Below are 21,402 nucleotides of genomic sequence, written 5' to 3' on the forward strand. Positions count from 1 at the left end.
GAGAAAAGACTGAAGTCCCCCAAGGAGGAAGGAAGTCTTCTTTCAGACTGCCTTCAGACTCAAGACTGCAAAACAAACTATTCCCTGGGCCCTCAGACTGCCTGCATGCCCTGCAGATTTTGGACTTACTAGCCCCTGCAGCTGCATCAGCCAATCCTTTAACATAAATAATATTTTCTCAATAAATAGATAGAGAGATAGATGTCTCCTACTGGTTTTGTTTCTCTGGAGAATGCTGACTAAATCAATGTGTTCTACATTTCCTTTCTTGGGTCTATGCTGTGTTCTAAACAGCCTCAGATTCATGGCTGACCTGCTCTTTAGTTATGTTTGAAGCTAACCTTTGTATGACAGTGTTTTTGAGATCATTTGCTCTTTAGGAAATTGATGAGTATTATCAGAAATAGAAATATTTCTGTGATTAAAAAAAAAGGGGAACACTGGTTTAAAAAAGTTAAACAGATTTCCTTAACATACAGAATTTTTGGATCCTTTGATATATGTGTGTGTGCATTGTAAATGCAAAAGAAAAAATATAATATATTAAGCTGCCCAAAAGTGTTTTGTCATGAAAACTGTTTTTAACAAATAATATCATAGAACTAGAGTTTCTCATAACATATTCCAAGAAATGCTGTGCCAGGGCTAACTTATGACTTCAATATCTATATCTCCCTCATTTGTAAACTCCTGACTCATATATTCAGTTGTCCACTGCAGATTACCACTTATGTGGATCAAGCTCAGCATCCTGCCTGACATGTGGTCTCCATGTTCTCTCCAGGTCCCTCTCCACCCCGACCCTTATGGGTTACATTAATCAAGCCCCATGTCCTCTGAATGTGGGCTGTTTTGGCCTATAAGAGCAACATCCAGAGATAATACAGTAAGACAAAGAGAGAGATCTGGGCATCTATTCTCTAGTTTCCTCCCAGGCTCACTGAGAATTTTACATACATCATTTTACAGAGTGTTGGTTGGTGGTTGTGGTCCCCTACTGAAGGACATGACCTTCAGATGTTCTGATTGGACATCTCTTCCCTAAAGCTATAAGGCTTTCTGGATGTCTAAACCATTCTATTCTCTTGCCTCTTCAGGCATAGGAGTGATAAAGGCTTCCTACTTTGGCTAGCTCTTGGGGCTCCACCATAACCCTGCAAACCTTTAAAAGTACTATATTCATTAAACTCTTTTAATCACTCATGCAAGTGTTCCAGGGACCCCAATACACCCAGCAAGCCCCAAATGTAACTCATTATTATCTCTCAAAACCTGTTCTTATTCTTAATGCCATTCAATTAACCAAATCAGATAAGAACTTTAGCAATTATACTCAGCTCTAACACTTAATTGCCATTTTAGGATAATGGAAATAGACTGAGCCTTGGTAGGAGACACCTGGCTTTCAATTCCAGTTATACCATTTTTAGAGCTGTGTTATCTTAGGCAATTTACTTGATTTCTCCGATCTTCTCTTTAAAATGACATAAATCATATTCACTACTTGTAGTTGTTTTGAGAGTAAAATGTGATTGTTTAAAAGAAAAGTAGCATAAGTTTTCCCATGGGCAGTATTCTCCTAAATTTGTCTTATACTCCCAACTCTTAAGCTCACCACTCACCAATTCATCCTTTCTATAGTTGACACATAATCTTGAAAACAAAGTTAATCATACTACTCTCTGCTCAATTGCTTAAGCAGTACCACACAGTCTATCAGGACATGTAAAAGCTTTAGCTGTGTATACAAAACATTCCAAGATATGGTTCCAGTCCTGTATTGAAAAATTATATTAGAGTTTTATGTATACTGACCAATGTCATGAAAGCAATCACCTTACTAGCTTCTGTGGATACCAATAAAGAGCTACCATAAAATTAATGGTTTTTATATGTATAAGAAATTTCCTGATGTAAAAAATATTAACAGCAACCAATGGTTGAGTATCTAACTGTGCTAGAAAATGTGCTATATTGTTATTAGCAACTCTTTAAGTTAAATAGGTGGTAAAAGTAGTTTGGTTTATATATTTTATCATAATTTGTAACTAAAGGGCAATCCTATTAAAAATCACCAAAAGATATGACTTTATTTCTCCACAAAACAAAGAAAAATATTATATTGACCTGAAGTTCAATAAAATCTATTGTGTCATGGAGTTAATGAAATAAAAATTGAGGCCAAATTTCTATTTTATTATTTTATTTTATTTTTTTACTTCTCAGGATATATCTCACTGAGGAGCTAAGGTAATAAAGTTCTTGGTTTAATAGAATTGTAAATAAAACCTTACTAGCTCCTGTAGAATATTGTCTTCAGATGCATCCTATGGTAAAAAATTATCCTATAATAAATTTTATATAATGTTCTTTTCTCCTCTGTATCTATACAAATTCAACTAACTTACTCTTTATGGCTCAATGAAAGACTTGAGGTTTCACTTGATAACCTTGCCTCATTTATATCTCATCTTCCTCCTTTTACAGCCTTTATGATTTATGTAACTTATTTTTGTGTTTCAGTAAATAATGCTTCATAGTATTATCCATTGTCCCAACAACTTTAACATCTCTATCATATCTACAGTTGCTATTTAACCACTGGGCAAAGCTATGTAGGGTTCACTCTGTTCTTCTGGCAGTTTATTACCAATCTACCAGCCTGAAAAATACAGGTGTGAAATCTTTGGGTATAAAAGCATAGAGGGACTTTAGAGACTATTTAAGTTTGGTTCATAGGTGAAGAAATTGAGGCCCTAAGAAGTCAATTGATTTGTCAAAGACCATGCAACTCATTAGTATCAAAGCTGAGATTGGGCAGGACTCTGGTCTTCTCTCTAGAGTTCTCTTGTTCACATACAAGTGTTAGCATTTATAATATTATTTATAATTGCAAGACTAAGTACTAGTTATATATTTATTCAACAAGATATAGGGTACTTGATAGTAATTCACCTTTCTCTATTCGACTTCATTCATGTAAATTGCAGCTGTTTAATGAAATATTAAAAGTAATTTAAGTATAACTTAACTTCTTCCTTCCACATCTTTGCCACAACAGAGGAGTCCTGGTAATTTTATACTAAATGCCCAATAATTACATGTGGGTGAAAGTAGTGGGAAAGAAATTATCTGGTATTGTTGATTAAAGATGAATGGAATCATATATGGTAATTTTGCTTATACAAGGATTTTATGAAACAACTTTTCTGCCTTCCTTGGTAATCGGGAAGAGGGCGGGCAACATTGCCTGAAGTTGTTCTGTTTAACCGCTGAGGATTCTGAGAAATACAGTTCTTGAGGTAACAGGTTAGCAGAGATGCTGAAAAACATTTGATGATAAAGGACCTTTCATGCTAAGAGCTAAAATCACCTATAATGTTAATATTATAAGATACTATTTGATTTGAGGAAAAACCTCACATAAGTCAGCCCAATTTTTGAAAGAAATGGATAACTACAGTGTCCCTTTGAACTTGTAGGCGTTTCAGCCCTAGTAAGAGCTCCCAATAGACACGGGAATTCAAAATTGCTTAAAAGATGAGAATTAATATTATATTTACATTAGGTTCATTTTAAATTAGTTTCAGTTATATCCATAATTAAATACAAATTTACAACAATGACCACAATGATGATGTGAAGTGGTTATTGTACAAGATCTTTTCAAAACCTATTGTAGCCAATTTTTCCTGGCCAAACAAATTCTAAAACATAAAATAAGAGTCAAAGGAAATAAATGATTTAATATATAATTAGTCCCTTTGTATCAAAAAATTCAAAGTAATAAAAGCTTCATTATGGCAGACAAAGCACGCAATGTGGGGACAACACAGAAATCCAAGAAAGGCAAGACCAATTTCAAGGCACTAAATAAGTGGACTGAGACAAGAAGTACACAGATACTTCCCAGAACAAAGTAAGTACTGTGCAAGTTTTGTTTCTTAAATGCTATGAAAGCACAAAGAAGGCTTTTATGGGCTTTAAAGACGTGTAGTATTGGCTTTACAGATTTGTAGTATTCTTTTACCCATACAGAGCCACATTTTTTTTAGATTTCTACTAATGAAGTTTTATTTGTTTCTAGTCTCCTGTGAACAAATTTAATAATCTAGTCTCTATATGAGCTCTACTTTTAAAAAACATTAAAATTGAAATATGTACATTCTCCTACATTTTGACCTGATATAATTGTATTCCTCAAATATAACAGCATACTTTAGTGCCACATGAAAGTTCCTCCTTTTTACATAAAGCCTTTATTTTTTTTTTCTTTTTGCAGCTTGGTTCTAAGGAAGTTCCAGACTAAAATAGTGCATCAAGAGGACTGGCATAATCAGCCTCACTAAAAACAGCCTGATTAATACTAAATATGTCCTAGCTCCTAATCAATTATGTTAACGAAGTCATAGGCAGCACATCTGCAAGCCCTGACAAAGCCCATGATCTCAGCATTGCCTGATAATATAGACTCCCCGAGCTGCTCAGGGTTAGCAGCCTTCAAGCTTTCAGAGAAGACACTGACAAAGGCTTGTGATCCTCAAACCTTGTTATTTTATTCACCACAGCCTATTACTAGGTTCTGGGATGAACTGTCAAATTACATTGCTCTTTAAATAAAATAACAGGAGCTCATGCCTGTAATCCCAGCACTTTGGGAGGCCAAGGAGGGTGGATCACGAGGTCAGGAGATTGAGACCATCCTGGCTAACACGGTGAAACCCCGTCTCTACTAAAAATACAAAAAATTAGCCAGGCATGGTGGCGGGCGCCTGTAGTCCCAGCTACTCGGGAGGCTGAGGCAGGAGAATGGCGTGAACCCGGGAGGCGGAGCTTGCAGTGAGCCGAGATGGTGCCACTGCACTTCCAGCCTGGGCAGCAGAGCAAGACTCCGTCTCAAGAAAAAAAAAAAATAAATAATAAATAAATAAATAAATAAATAAATAAATACAATAACAGAACCTAAGCGTCCTACTTAACAAATGACACATCCTTTTCCAAGTGACAGATTGCTAAGCAAAATATTTGCTACTTGGTGTTTTATGAGCCTCTGCTAGGAGATAACTTGGCATCAAACACTTGAATAATCTGACTATCAAAGTCTCCCTCAAGTTGGGAAATCTGAATTCGTTGCTTTATGTCCATCTGGAAACAACAACAGAATTAGAATCCCATGAAAAATTAAGGCAACGCTATTATTTATAGGGGTTGTCTTGTCCAATGAACATTTTGGCGAGTGAGATAGTTTTGTGTCAAATTCTCTTAAGTCATGTGAACTATTATAGTCCAAATGCCAAAATAAATGTAATTCTGATTTTTTTGGTCTATTTTCTTTCTGTTTTTTTTTTTTTGGACTGGTTGTTTGTAAATCACTTGTTTACTCTCTAGGTAAGTGATATACAATAGTAACCTCTTCCTGGATGAATCCTCATGAGTGTCATCACTTAGGCTCAAGGGATGGCCAAAGCCAACGGGCAGTTGTTGAGCTGAGTGGGAAGATCTTGAACAAGCAGGCTGGAGTGTCCACATTGCACACAGAAGATCTTTTCCAATTTGGGACTGAGCTAGGTGTTTCTACCCCTTTCTAGGGTGGCTGTGATCTGAGGAAGACCTCCATTTGTACTGTTGTAAAAAATTAATGATTTAGCTTTAATTACTGGTGTTTTATATAGGCAAATTGAGTCTTGACAGAGAAGGAACTGTTTTCTATTCATCTCTGAATCCCCAGTATTTTGGACAATATCTGAAATGATCCCATGTTTGGGATTTAATAAAAGTTTAAGAAATGAATGAAGACTTAAAGAAATGACTTTAACGTTCCAGCAAAATTTATTACAAAGCTGATCTTGAGACATCATATTTTCAAGAATTATTAGTAGTATTAACCACCAGTTGTATATAGTACTTATAAACTATACATATACATAAAACAGTATTTGTGTGTGTGTGAGTGTGTGTGTATATATATATTTCAATCCTCACAATAACGCTAGGAGATCAGTGCTCTGCTTATATCATCTTAGAGATGGCAAAACTCATGAAGAGTTAATTTAAATAACTTTCCAAATTTACAAAGCTAGGAAAAGGTGGAGCTCAGATTCAAACCCAGCAAATCTGGCACCAGCCTCTTCAGAGACTAAATTGATCAAGTTGTGGTAAAACTCCCAGAGTTGCAAGGCATAGCCTTATCTATTTGTCCCTATATTTTTTTGCTTGATTCCCAAAGTGCTAGAGTGGGCATCCTTCTGGAAGCTGAGGGTCACCAATATAGAATCTTAAGGGGACATTTTTGGTTTTCTAAAAGAAGCAAATTGCAATTTTAGGAAAAGTATAGTTTAGACATACTAAAAGTATTTAAGAAAATATTGGATTTTGCTGTTTCTTTGTGACTATTTTTGTTGTTGCTGTTCCTCTACATTCTATTTTATCTACAATAGAGATCTTTAAGAAAAAAAAAAGTACTTGCCTTCAAGGGCAGGTGATGCCGGAGTGGGTCTGGAAGCTTGTTCTGTCGGTAAGGGAGGTGGAATGGCTGGGCTTTGTCCTACACAATGTAGAAGTAGGAATTGGAAAAAAAAAAGTATTAACAAATCTAATATCCACAACTAAAAAGCTAGATCTGTCCCCTACATGCATAATTCATAATACCAAGCCAAGTATAAATCATATTATTATGCAAAAAAGAAAGCTATTATTAAGGGAGATCTTTAAGAAGACACCTTCGCGGATTCAGTTATCTTCAGAGCCATTTCTGAATATATTATTTTCCATAGATGGATATGCAATGTTAAATATATCTACTGGACTTCATTAATGGAAAATGTACATGTACTCAAATTAAGCAATTTATTTTTAATATACACACTAAGTTATGGAAACTAAAATCTCAGAAGCTGAGGGGGAATCTTAATATAAAATTAATCACTATTTTTTCCATTTAACTAAAAATTCTCAAATGATATAATATAGGCAATAAAAGAAGGTTGAAATTCATAGGCCTTTGATATTGAACAGATACATTTTTCCCTACCATAATAAATGACCTGTAGTTAAGTAAATAATGAGCCAAAGAGAAAATATATTCAGTTTTATAGAACTTTGAAAGCTTCTCTCAAGTCTCTGTCTGAGCTTATTATGAACTGCAAAAAAAAAAAAAAAAAAAAAAGAGAGAGAGAGAGAAAGAAAGAAAACCCACAATCATTTCCAAGTACTTCTTTATCCCAAGTGATTTCTTTAATTAACCAATACCATCCAGGCCATGAACTCTCAACATTAGCTATCATATGATCCCATATAAATTGCTTGCAAAACATTTTATCACTACTTTTCATTCCATAAACTTCTGCTGTGTGTTTTTTATCCAGAAATCAACATGCAACATGGGCATGTGTAACTTCTAAAATCTCACTGACAACTAGATATTATCAAATGTCAGCAGACCTGCCTTACTGAAAGTTTTCCTTTTTTAGAATTCACCAAAATTAGTTATCTATGGTGTAATATGGTTTAGCAAGCAAAGTAATTAGAGTTGCACAAACACCACATTTCGGGCCTAGGCCCTCATGCCACATGGAGCTCTGTTCATCATATATGGTTCTTGTAGCTGTTACACCCATACAGGTTGATTACTGAGCATGTTTAAGTATGTATAGAAGCCAAACATACTGTTTCATAACTTACAGGCCGTATGTCTAGAAAAATATCCATTCATAATATTGTTAATTTCTTTCATTATGGAAGTAAAGATTGACTTAAACATAATATAACATGGAAGTTTATTTTTTCATTAGCAAAGAAAAAATAAGGCTGGGAACACTAAAAAGAAGGTTGATCCACATTATCTTTCTTTCCCTAGCTAACAATTACATAGTGTTTACTATGTGCCAAGAATGATCCAAATGGTTTTCCTGCATTAAGTCATTTAATCTTCACAAGCTCTTTGGGATGTGCATATTAGTCTCATTTTATAGTTTTTAAAACTGAGGTTAACCAGAGTTTAGGCTTCTCAGCTGCTAATAAGTGGAATTGGATTTCAATGCAGGTTCCCAAGTTGCAATTCTTAAAGTTCCTCTCAGATTGCCTATGCTTAACAGAAGGGTCATCTATCAGGAGTCCATGACTATAGCTGACGAGGGACAGAGGAGTGAAGCCTCTACTCTAGGTTTCTACTTTCTCGGTGGGTCAAAGGGATATATACTTGGAAAGATCTATTCCCCAACCTTGTTTGAGGGCCATTCTTGAAAAAATAATTTTAAGGTACGGTGGTATTTTGTAGCTTTGAAAATAAGCTACAAGGACAAAGAAGGAGTCAGTTAAATGACCAAACTTTTAAAATATGAGTGTCCATAAATATACATCAATTGTTTCTAAATACTAAGATAGATCGATATCTTCATAGAATGGTGCCTGTTGAGTCTCAGCTGCTTTCTACCCTGTCATATACCTCGGTGAATAGTAGTGGGTGTATAATTATAGTCTTTTATAGTCTTGAGTTATTGAGGAACTTATTATACTATATATAAAATTATTTCCCTGTAAATTTCACATAATTTACACTATTACCTATATTTAGATTTATCTGAAGGAAATATAAAGTTATTACTTTATTTAAAACAACTTTATTGCATACTTATTATATACCAGCACCAAAGAATTATTAAACCCCAACCCTGCCTTCAAGAAGTTCCCAACATACTGGCTGAAACAGACCTCTAGACAGATCATTACATGATAGTGTGTTGAAGGAAAATCGTATATACTAAGGATATACTGCAGAAAGAGTCTTGAAAGAGAGTAGGTTAACAGCCTAAAAGGAGCCTGCCAGGTAAGGAAGGATGGGGAAGACGGAGGGATTCCAGGTGGAAGGTATGTGGTAAATTAAAAAAAAAAAAAAGCCTGGATGCCAATATATATATATTTATTAGAACACACAAACTGGTGCTTCTGCGGCATAAAGTGCAATATGCAGTTGATATCAGAAATTCTGCACAACTATAATGCTCTTTTTATTCTGCTCTCTAACATGGCTGATGGCATGGTTGTAAGGCAGTGGACACAATGGGTAACAATGGGAAAGTAGGACCACAAGCAAAAAAAAATTAAAAAAAGAAAGGAGAAGCCAGCTGGCTGCCTGTCTCCATGGTGACAGTGATACTAGCCCTGGCAGGGAATTACTAACTCAGGACAAGTTTTTGTTGTGATAGGGTGCACCAAAACAAATCAGATGGGTCATACTTGAACATGACACACGACTTTGGTCCTGACTCATATAATCAGTAATGTCAGAGAATCTTATTGAAATCACAAATCGTTTTGTTAGGTGAATGAATACATTATATAACATATATAATAATACATAATGAATTATATTAAATGTGATATTATATTTATAATACAGCTCTACAACAAAATCAGAGTTGTTTAGTATAAAGACTGCATGCTTAGGAGTCACATGGGTATTAAGCGATAGCTTCAGATCTGTCACTTAGAAGCTGTGTACATTTGAAAATCTCATAACATCTCCAAGCTTCAGTTAAGGTGTTTATAAAATGTGGATAGTTGTAGGGGTGTTATAGAGATTAAGTGATGAAGCACCCAGTGCATGGCAGATACTCAAAATATTAATTCTTTTCCCGATAATGTATTTACAATTTAAATCCCATCTAATTTCACAAGAAGATTTGAAGCTGACTTTTGAAGAAAAACAAAAACAAAGAAAATTGAACATGACAGAAATAGCAGAACTCATTTGTAGAAAAGAGGCTTATAATTTTATTAGGAATATATTCTTTTGGAATTCCTGAAGATTGTTATTCTCTGAAGGAAAGATTTAGGCTGTTGAAATTTACATTCGAACTCTAAAGGTGCCCTTCATTTTACAAGCTATTACCTGAAAATCCCTCTGACATTCAAACACAGTAAGTTGGCTTCATTTCTGTTCCTTGAGTGATTTGGGCTGGCTTATTTCCATAATACCTGAATGGTAGGTTGGCAAATTGCTAATACTTTATTGTTCTGAGTTCTTTTCCATACAAGTCAATTTGGTTGTTTTTGATTTAGTCAAATTCTTTTGGGGCTAGTGTACAGTGTGCATTCATTCTAATGATCTAAGTTACTGATGTTTTCTTTACTTTCCTAGAAATGATGAATGAGATTACTAAAAATCTTGTCAAGGTAGGAGGCTATGAGCTGAATTATGATTGCATGATGGAAAAAAGCAATTCACTACACTGAAGTTTAATCTATCTAGTTTCTTTATGAACGAGATTCCCTGATTGAAAACCATTTCTGAACAACTGAAGCCTACTCCCTCTGTCTTGTAACAAATGTTAAGGCTGTTTTTTTCTCTACCATCTAATAGAGATTTTATGTCATAGACCCTCATTGGATTTTCCTGGAAGTACGGAGAGTTACATCCAGAGAACTCTGAACATTTTGGAAGGACCCCAATCCTGCAAACAATGAATGGCAATAAATCCTGGGACTGGAAAGGTATGAGGACCTCCAAGTAACCATTGAGTTAAAATTCCTTTACATTAAAAACACACAATATATGAAATCATTACAAATCCCTGTGTCAATTTGTTCTTTCAGGTTCATAGAAGGCATTTGTAAATCTATGACTAAAAGTAAAGTGAGAAGATGTGAGTTTAATAAGGAAATGATAGTCAAGTTTATTAAAGCAATAATATTACTTATGTATTGGTATAAGTTTCCTAGACTACTTTTGTAAGATGTGGAATATTTTGAAAGTTTGGAATTTAACAAATACTAAAATTAAATGAAAAGATGGTTTTATATTTTAGGCTGAGACATGTGATTGTGCTAAGGTTGTGTGTTAATAGGGACACCTTGACCTTCATGCTTCCTTACTATCACTTGCTTCTGTCTTGTACTTTTGGACCACTTAGGGATGGAAAGAGGAGACCCTAGAGATATGGGGTGCTAACCACTCCTCCCTTTCCCAACCCCATCTATTAAAAATAATTGAATTGCCACTCATATAATAATCAGAGATGTTCAAATTTGCCTATTAAACAAAGACCTCTCCAACTGGGAATAATCTGAAGAAGTTCAGGAGTTTGTGTGAGGTGGGCAGGCACAGGATGTTTTTACTTCAAACAGACATCCTTATACCTTCCATTTGTGTGTTGCTAAATGTCACCACTGTACTTTGCGTTTCTTTTCTTCCTTCCAGGGGCTTCTCAACCCCAAGGCAACCATAAAGTCCTATACAAAGAAAGATACAGCAGTGTGAAAGAGGCCTGGATGAAAAAACAAAGACAGAGCCAGTGAGCCAGAGCCAGAGCCAGAGGACAAGAGAGAAAGGCAGAGAATGGAAAACACAGACAGAGAAGGCAGATGCGTAGAGAGACAGAGATTCAATGAGAAAATAAGGAAGGAAGAAAGAAAGAAAACAAAAACGTTCTCAGCACTACAACTTCTGCCTTGTTCTGTTCCAGAACAGTATGAGCTCAGTACTTTTTCAGACTCTCAATTTTCTACAACTAATAATTTGCTCTTTCAGTTAGTGGCAAAGGCTTAACGACAAAGGTTCATCTTTAATATTAGAGAGGCACTTTTAAAATTTATGATGCTAAGCCTTTTGTTCTGGATATGGTATGTTGCACAGGTCTAGGGACTGGGATTTCAGATGTCTATTCCGTACCCTTATTCTTTTATTTATTAAATCTTTTAGTGTGTATTTTTTTCTATTTTCTCTTCTTTTATTAGTATGTATTTCTTGAGTCATTAACATACAACATATATAGGACTTCCTCTGAGGATACAATAATGTATATGATGGACAAGATACGTAAAAGTGCCTTGAAGAGACTTGGTCTTGTGAGGGGACAGACAGGAAACAGGCAATTATCACCTAACTTAGGTCTGTTGTTTCAAGGTAAAATAAGAATAATAACATCTGTGTTGGCTGGGATGTTGTGAGTGTTTGTGGAGATAATAGTACAAATGAAATTACTGAGGGACAATGGTGAAGATAGGGCCATATCATGGAGCTTACACTAGTGATGGAAGGAGATGGGAGATACAAAAGCAAGTCAATATTTCAGATTTCGTAAATGAATGGCAAGCATAGAGCAGTGAGGCAGAGAATGACTGGAGAAAGAGACTATGTTAAACTGGATAGTAAAGGAAGAGCAGGACCCCACTAAACTATATGGAGTTTTGTGCAAATCACATGAACACACGTAGAACATTTTAGGCTGCTCATGTGACTTTGGATTTGTCCTAAGGGCAATAGTAAGCCTTTGAACTGCTTTAGCATGATAGGATTTTAAAAGATCACTGGCTGCTGTGTGAACAAAAATAATGTTGTAAAGAAAAGGATATTAGCTGTATCAGATCAGCTGGAGACTACTGAAATAACCCAAGCTGGCTTGGACTACATAGGAGTAGTGTAAACTCATTCATTCATGCAAGAAATACTTACTGAGTGCCTACTCAGTACCAGACCCTTTTCTAGGACATGGAGTTATAGCAGTGAACAATATAGAAAAAAATCCCCGAATTCATGGAGACTCCAGTGAGCAGAGACAAAAAAATAGCAACTAAATAAGTTAAAAGGAATTGAGTACCCTATAAAAGTTTATCAGGGAAATGTTATAAGGAATGACTTTCGGAGTAATGGGTAGTGATCTTAAATGTATGGTCAATGAAAATCAGAAGTTGTAGAGAAGTGGATAAATTCACAGTACGTTTTAAAGTAGACCTAATAAGACTTAATGAATTTGATGTGGCAAGTGAGAAAAATACATCAAGGATGATGACTTTTATAATTTGACTTGAGTATCTGGGAACAAACAAGTACAGTGCCATAATAAGGGCAGAAAATTTTCCATTCACTCAGCAACTTATGAACTCATTTGCTTAGTCTTTATTGCCTCTTGCATTATGTAGTTTTCACTTTGCTGGAGTACTTGTATAGAAGATCACCAGTGAAGAAGCCAGAGATGGTTTATTTGGTCATCCCAATAATACATCTTATTGTTAATTAACTCTCAAGGGTTTTTTTTCACAATTTTAGAAAAGGTTTAAGCAAATGAATTATTTAACATGAATTGGCTATGTGACCCTACTATAAGGTGTTTAAAACACCAACAGCTTAAACTTCTTAGATCAAAGGACATCCTCCAGGCCAAAATGTTTCCACTGGAACGGTTTCTTTGCTTCCTGATTAAAAGCTTCCCTAATATATTTCCACGTGTTATTACATATTTTCGTATTCACTTTGATGGAAAGCAAGAATAGCAGCCAAATACATATTTCATGCATTCTTTTGATTAAAAATGATAAAGGTAATATTAGTGTTTTTTTCTTTCTCACCTCCAATTTATGAAGTGGAAATAATTTTCCATGGAATGGCCAACTAAAGAAAAGAAATATGATAAATTCAGATCATATCATTGTTCCATTTATCCTTGTACCCTGTCTGTGACAGAATACCTGATGTTTGGGATATAACAAAAATAGATGCATAGAATCATAGAGTTTAAGAATGTAAAAGACTTTTGAAATCAGCCATTCTAATACCCTAATTTTTAAGATAGACAAAAAATGGTCTCCGGAAGGATAAATAGTCTAACAAAGGTCATGCATTGAGAACAAACCTAATATGAGCCAAGATGGCCGAATAGGAACAGCTCCAGTCTACAGCTCCCAGCGTGAGCGACGCAGAAGACGGGTGATTTCTGCATTTCCATCTGAGGTACCGGGTTCATCTCACTAGGGAATGCCAGACAGTGGGCGCAGGTCAGTGGGTGCGCGCACCGTGCGCAAGCCAAAGCAGGGGGAGGCATTGCCTCAGTCGGGAAGTGCAAGGGGTCAGGGAGTTCCCCTTCCGAGTCAAAGAAAGGGGTGACGGACAGCACCTGGAAAATCGGGTCACTCCCACCCGAATACTGCGCTTTTCCGACAGGCTTAAAAAACGGCGCACCACAAGATTATATCCCACACCTGGCTCGGAGGGTCCTACGCCCACGGAATCTCGCTGATTGCTAGCACAGCAGTCTGAGATCAAACTGTAAGGCGGCAGCAAGGCTGGGGGAGGGGCGCCCGCCATTGCCCAGGCTTTCTTAGGAAAACAAAGCAGCCGGGAAGCTCGAACTGGGTGGAGCCCACCACAGCTCAAGGAGGCCTGACTGCCTCTGTAGGCTCCACCTCTGGGGGCAGGGCACAGACAAACAAAAAGACAGCAGTAACCTCTGCAGACTTAAATGTCCCTGTCTGACAGCTTTGAAGAGAGCAGTGGCTCTCCCAGCACGCAGCTGGAGATCTGAGAACGGGCAGAGAACGGGCAGACTGCCTTCTCAAGTGGGTCCCTGACCCCTGACCCCCGAGCAGCCTAACTGGGAGGCAACCCCCCAGCAGGGGCACACTGACACCTCACACGGCAGGGTATTCCAACAGACCTGCAGCTGAGGGTCCTGTCTGTTAGAAGGAAAACTAACAAACAGAAAGGACATCCACACCAAAAACCCATCTGTACATCACCATCATCAAAGACCAACAGTAGATAAAACCACAAAGATGGGGAAAAAACAGAACAGAAAAACTGGAAACTCTAAAAACCAGAGCGCCTCTCCTCCTCCAAAGGAACGCAGTTCCTCACCAGCAATGGAACAAAGCTGGATGGAGAATGACTTTGACAAGCTGAGAGAAGAAGGCTTCAGACGATCAAATTACTCTGAGCTACAGGAGGACATTCAAACCAAACGCAAAGAAGTTGAAAACTTTGAAAAAAATTTAGAAGAATGTATAACTAGAATAACCAATACAGAGAAGTGCTTAAAGGAGCTGATGGAGCTGAAAACCAAGGCTTGAGAACTACATGAAGAATGCAGAAGCCTCAGGAGCCGATGCGATCAACTGGAAGAAAGGGTATCAGCAATGGAAGATGAAATGAATGAAATGAAGCGAGAAGGGAAGTTTAGAGAAAAAAGAATAAAAAGAAGTGAGCAAAGCCTCCAAGAAATATGGGACTATGTGAAAAGACCAAATCTACGTCTGATTGGTGTACCTGAAAGTGATGGGGAGAATGGAACCAAGTTGGAAAACACACTGCAGGATATTATCCAGGAGAACTTCCCCAATCTAGCAAGGCAGGCCAACGTTCAGATTCAGGAAATACAGAGAAGGCCACAAAGATACTCCTCGAGAAGAGCAACTCCAAGACACATAATTGTCAGATTCACCAAAGTTGAAATGAAGGAAAAAATGTTAAGGGCAGCCAGAGAGAAAGGTCGGGTTACCCTCAAAGGGAAGCCCATCAGACTAACAGCGGATCTCTCGGCAGAAACCCTACAAGCCAGAAGAGAGTAGGGGCCAATATTCAACATTCTTAAAGAAAAGAATTTTCAACCCAGAATTTCATATCCAGCCAAACTAAGCTTCATAAGCGAACGAGAAATAAAATACTTTACAGACAAGCAGATGCTGAGAGATTTTGTCACCACCAGGCCTGCCCTAAAAGAGCTCCTGAAGGAAGAGCTAAATATGGAAAGGAACAACCAGTACCAGCCACTGCAAAATCATGCCAAAACGTAAAGACCATCGAGACTAGGAAGAAACTGCATCAACTAACGAGCAAAATAACCAGCTAACATCATAATGATAGGATCAAATTCACACATAACAATATTAACTTTAAATGTCAATGGACTAAATGCTCCAATTAAAAGACACAGACTGGCAAATTGGATAGAGTCAAGACCCATCAGTGTGCTGTATTCAGGAAACCCATCTCATATGCAGAGACACACATAGGCTCAAAATAAAAGGATGGAGGAAGATCTACCAAGCAAATGGAAAACAAAAAAAGGCAGGGATTGCAATCCTAGTCTCTGATAAAACAGACTTTAAACCAACAAAGATCAAAAGAGACAAAGAAGGCCATTACATAATGGTAAAGGGAGCTAACTATCCTAAATATATATGCACCCAATACAGGAGTACCAAGATTCATAAAGCAAGTCCTGAGTGACCTACAAAGAGACTTAGACTCCCACACATTAATAATGGGAGACTTTAACACCCCACTGTCAACATTAGACAGATCAACAGACAGAAAGTCAACAAGGATACCCAGGAATTGAACTCAGCTCTGCACCAAGCCGACCTAATAGACATCTAAAGAACTCTCCACCCCAAATCAACAGAATATACATTTTTTTCAGCACCACACCACACCTATTCCAAAATTGACCACATACTTGGAAGTAAAGCTCTCCTCAGCAAATGTAAAAGAACAGAAATTATAACAAACTATCTCTCAGACCACAGTACAATCAAACTAGAACTCAGGATTAAGAATCTCACTCAAAACCGCTCAACTACATGGAAACTGAACAACCTGCTCCTGAATGACTACTGGGTACATAACGAAATGAAGGCAGTAATAAAGATGTTCTTTGAAACCAACGAGAACAAAGACACAACATACCAGAATCTCTGGGACGCATTCAAAGCAGTGTGTAGAGGGAAATTTAAGAGAAAGCAGGAAAGATCCAAAATTGACACCCTAACATCACAATTAAAAGAACTAGAAAAGCAAGAGCAAACATATTCAAAAGCTAGCAGAAGGCAAGAAATAACTAAAATCAGAGCAGAACTGAAGGAAATAGAGATACAAAAAACCCTTCAAAAAATTAATGAATCCAGGAGCTGGTTTTTTGAAAGGATCAACAAAATTGATAGACCACTAGCAAGACTAATAAAGAAAAAAAGAGAGAAGAATCAAATAGACGCAATAAAAAATGATAAAGGGGATATCACCACCGATCCCACAGAAATACAAACTACCATCAGAGAATACTACAAACACCTCTACACAAATAAACTAGAAAATCTAGAAGAAATGGATAAATTCCTCAACACATACACTCTCCCAAGACTAAACCAGGAAGAAGTTGAATCTCTGAATAGACCAATAACAGGATCTGAAATTGTGGCAATAATCAATAGCTTACCAACCAAAAAGAGTCCAGGACCAGATGGATTCACAGCCGAATTCTACCAGAGGTACAAGGAGGAACTGGTACCATTCCTTCTGAAACTATTCCAATCAATAGAAAAAGAGGGAATCCTCCCTAACTCATTTTATGAGGCCAGCATCATTCTGATACCAAAGCCAGGCAGAGACACAACCAAAAAAGAGAATTTTAGACCAATATCCTTGATGAACATTGATGCAAAAATCCTCAATAAAATACTGGCAAAACGAATCCAGCAGCACATCAAAAAGCTTATCCACCATGATCAAGTGGGCTTCATCCCTGGGATGCAAGGCTGGTTCAATATACGCAAATCAATAAATGTAATCCAGCATATAAACAGAGCCAAAGACAAAAACCACATGATTATCTCAATAGATGCAGAAAAAGCCTTCAACGAAATTCAGCAACCCGTCATGCTAAAAACTCTCAATAAATTAGGTATTGATGGGCCGTATTTCAAAATAATAAGAGCTATCTATGACAAACCCACAGCCAATATCATACTGAATGGGCAAAAACTGGAAGCATTCCCTTTGAAAACTGGCACAAGACAGGGATGCCCTCTCTCACCACTCCTATTCAACATAGTGTTGGAAGTTCTGGCCAGGGCAATTAGGCAGGAGAAGGAAATAAATGGTATTCAATTAGGAAAAGAGGAAGTGAAATTGTCCCTGTTTGCAGATGACATGATTGTATATCTAGAAAACCCCATTGTCTCAGACCAAAATCTCCTTAAGCTGATAAGCAACTTCAGCAAAGTCTCAGGATACAAAATCAATGTACAAAAATCACAAGCATTCTTATACACCAACAACAGACAAACAGAGAGCCAAATCATGAGTGAACTCCCATTCACAATTGCTTCAAAGAGAATAAAATACCTAGGAATCCAACTTACAAGGGATGTGAAGGACCTCTTCAAGGAGAACTACAAACCACTGCTCAATGAAATAAAAGAGGATACAAACAAATGGAAGAACATTCCATGCTCATGGGTAGGAAGAATCAATATCCTGAAAATGGCCATACTACCCAAGGTAATTTACAGATTCAATGCCATCCCCATCAAGCTACCAATGACTTTCTTCACAGAATTGGAAAAAACTACTTTAAAGTTCATATGGAACCAAAAAAGAGCCTACATCGCCAAGTCAATCCTAAGCCAAAAGAACAAAGCTGGAGGCATCACACTACCTGACTTCAAACTATACTACAAGGCTACAGTAACCAAAACAGCATGGTACTGGTACCAAAACAGAGATATAGATCAATGGAACAGAACAGAGCCCTCAGAAATAACGCCGCATATCTATAACTATCTGATCTTTGACAAACCTGAGAAAAACAAGCAATGGGGAAAGGATTCCCTATTTAATAAATGGTGCTGGGAAAACTGGCTAGCCATATGTAGAAAGCTGAAACTGGATGCCTTCCTTACAACTTATACAAAAATCAATTCAAGATGGATTAAAGACTTAAACGTTAGACCTAAAACCATAAAAACCCTAGAAGAAAACCTAGGCATTACCATTCAGGACATAGGCATGGGCAAGGACTTCATGTCTAAAACACCAAAAGCAATGGCAACAAAAGACAAAATTGACAAATGGGATCTAATTAAACTAAAGAGCTTCTGCACAGCAAAAGAAACTACCATCAGAGTGAACAGGCAACTACAAAATGGGAGAAAATTTTCGCAACCTACTCATCTGACAAAGGGCTAATATCCAGAATCTACAATGAACTCAAACAAATTTACAAGAAAAAAACAAACAACCCCATCAAAAAGTGGGCAAAGGACATGAACAGACACTTCTCAAAAGAAGACATTTATGCAGCCAAAAAACACATGAAAAAATGCTCACCATCACTGGCCATCAGAGAAATACAAATCAAAACCACAATGAGATACCATCTCACACCAGTTAGAATGGCAATCATTAAAAAGTCAGGAAACAACAGGTGCTGGGGAGGATGTGGAGAAATAGGAACACTTTTACACTGTTGGTGGGACTGTAAACTAGTTCAACCATTGTGGAAGTCAGTGTGGCGATTCCTCAGGGATCTAGAACTGGAAATACCATTTGACCCAGCCATCCCATTACTGGGTATATACCCAAAGGACTATAAATCATGCTGCTATAAAGACACATGCACACGTATGTTTATTGTGGCATTATTCACAGTAGCAAAGACTTGGAACCAACCCAAATGTCCAACAATGATAGACTGGATTAAGAAAATGTGGCACATATACACCATGGAATACTATGCACCATAAAAAATGATGAGTTCATGTCCTTTGTAGGGACATGGATGAAATTGGAAATCATCATTCTCAGTAAACTATCGCAAGAACAAAAAACCAAACACCGCATATTCTCACTCATAGGTGGGAATTGAACGATGAGATCACATGGACACAGGAAGGGGAATATCACACTCTGGGGACTGTTGTGGGGTCGGGGGAGGGGGAAGGGATAGCATTGGGAGATATACCTAACGCGAGATGACGAGTTAGTGGGTGCAGCGCACCAGCATGCACATGTATACGTATGTAACTAACCTGCACAATGTGCACATGTACCCTAAAACTTAAAGTATAATAATAAAAAAAAAGAAAAATGTTCACCAAAAAAAAAAAAACCTAATATAAGATTAAATTTTTTACCTCCATTTTATTTTCCTATTTAATCAACTATTTGGACAGTCAAGATAAATGCCAATTATTTTACCTGTTACCATAAATGACTCATAACCATTGACAAATCTATAGGTATTCACTTCCTAAGGGAAAGAAAAATCACACATTTTTTACATGGTCATTTTCTGTTTAACCTTAGTTAGACGTTGAATGGACTTGATATATCCCACAGAAGAGGCCCAGTACTTAAAGACCAGTCTCCATGTTAGCTGACCAATTTCTGCAGTTCTAGATAGAGTACCAACTGGGATATTTTTTAAACTTTCAGAATTACTAAGTCTTCATTTTTTAAAAATAATTTCTTTTAGTTATCTGAACAATATTTCTATCAACTCCACAGAAAATCATATTTGCGTATAGGTAAGGAAAATGGGAGATGGTGAAGACAGAAGATATAGGTAAATAGGTAAATACGAATTGCGTTTTTATTTTAGTACAAAGACCAAAGCTGATAGGGAAAGAGATTAATGAGGCAAAGTGGATGGATTAAATTCTCAAATAAAAATAATAAATCTATTTAATGTACCCAGCATGCAATGTCCTAACTTGCCATGGAATCATCCAGTGAAATGTTCAATACATGGGATTTCAAATTTTCAGTGATAAAACTGCCTAGAACTTGGCTAATTTCAGTCAATCCTCAAAGCTTAGCTCTTTTAGCCCTTCTTGGACTCCCCTCTACCCATTCCCCTGAAAACACTTTATGCTCTCAGAGGACCCAGTGTATGCTTTATCCACTGCTTCTGTGGTTCTCAATACATTTGTTTATTTACAAGTTTGTTTGTTTTTTTAAATCTTCAGTAGACAATAAACAACTTAAAGCCAAAATATGGACCATATTAGGCAATACATATTTAGTAAAGGAAAGAGCATTATTAAAAGTGAAAATTATTGCTTAAATGAGTGAGTAAACAAATGAATAATTCTAAATGTCACTCTGTTTTACTGCTTCTGGAGTGTTTTAATGTGAACAGACTGAATTATAGTATTTTTAGAGTGCTTGGTAAAATGTGAAATAGTACCAAAGATATACAACAAAACTTTAACTTATATATTTGTGGTTTTTTTCCCCAATCATTTATAGTTCTAGACCAAAGTATTTATTTTCTTTCTGGGGGAAGTTTACTAATTTATGAGTAGAACACTAATCTTTCAAAGAAAGTTATACATTTTTCCATGATTAGTGGGAAAAAGTGAACTAAAGCTTCAAGATGAAGAAAGATAGCTTCATTATTTAAACAGCTCTACTAACATATAGCACTTGTAATATATTCTGAATATCTATAATTCCCCACAAGTGGAAAGACTATGTCAATTATCTATTGTGTTATCTTTCAGCCTAATGAATTCTGCACTCACATATTAAACTTGAAGAGTGTTTTAGCGCCAGCAGAGTTCACTGAGAACATTGAAACACAAACAAAATGGATGACTTGCCAAATTCATCCAACTGACTTACAACTAGGACCCAAGTATGCGGAGTCCCAGTGCAGTGCTCTTATACAACAGTATCCTGTCTTTGAGCTTGCATTTGCAGGCATTTTCAAAAGAGCATAGGGGACAGGGAATGAACAAAACATAAGATACAATTTTAGAAAAGTGCAAAACAATTTCAATTAATTACAGATAGATATTATATTGCCATATTATGTTTCAGAATTCTAGTTTATATAATTTTAGAATAAT

The 21,402-nt window shown here is 36.7% G+C and overlaps 1 protein-coding gene and 1 long non-coding RNA gene across 5 annotated transcripts in view; one reads left to right on the top strand and one right to left on the bottom strand.

Annotated features, from left to right (window-relative positions):
• The window catches only part of TRDN-AS1 (TRDN antisense RNA 1), a 32,153-nt gene extending 18,836 nt beyond the window's left edge, over positions 1 to 13,317 (top strand). Inside the window, exons 2-3 of the long non-coding RNA NR_110844.1 lie at positions 10,377 to 10,491; positions 11,198 to 13,317. This is a non-coding gene — a long non-coding RNA (TRDN antisense RNA 1). The remainder of the gene's footprint in view (positions 1 to 10,376; positions 10,492 to 11,197) is intronic.
• The window catches only part of TRDN (triadin), a 420,612-nt gene that overhangs the window by 242,101 nt on the left and 157,109 nt on the right, over positions 1 to 21,402 (bottom strand). For 3 of the 4 annotated variants that reach the window (NM_006073.4, NM_001407315.1, NM_001251987.2), the window contains one exon: positions 6,467 to 6,544. In NM_006073.4, coding sequence (NP_006064.2) covers positions 6,467 to 6,544 — 78 coding nt within the window. Of the gene's footprint in view, positions 1 to 5,810; positions 6,545 to 21,402 lie in introns of those variants that run through there. The other variant, NM_001256020.2, reaches the window with a different exon arrangement.

Source organism: Homo sapiens, chromosome 6 (genome assembly GCF_000001405.40).
Source record: "Homo sapiens chromosome 6, GRCh38.p14 Primary Assembly".
Lineage (NCBI taxonomy): Eukaryota > Metazoa > Chordata > Mammalia > Primates > Hominidae > Homo > Homo sapiens.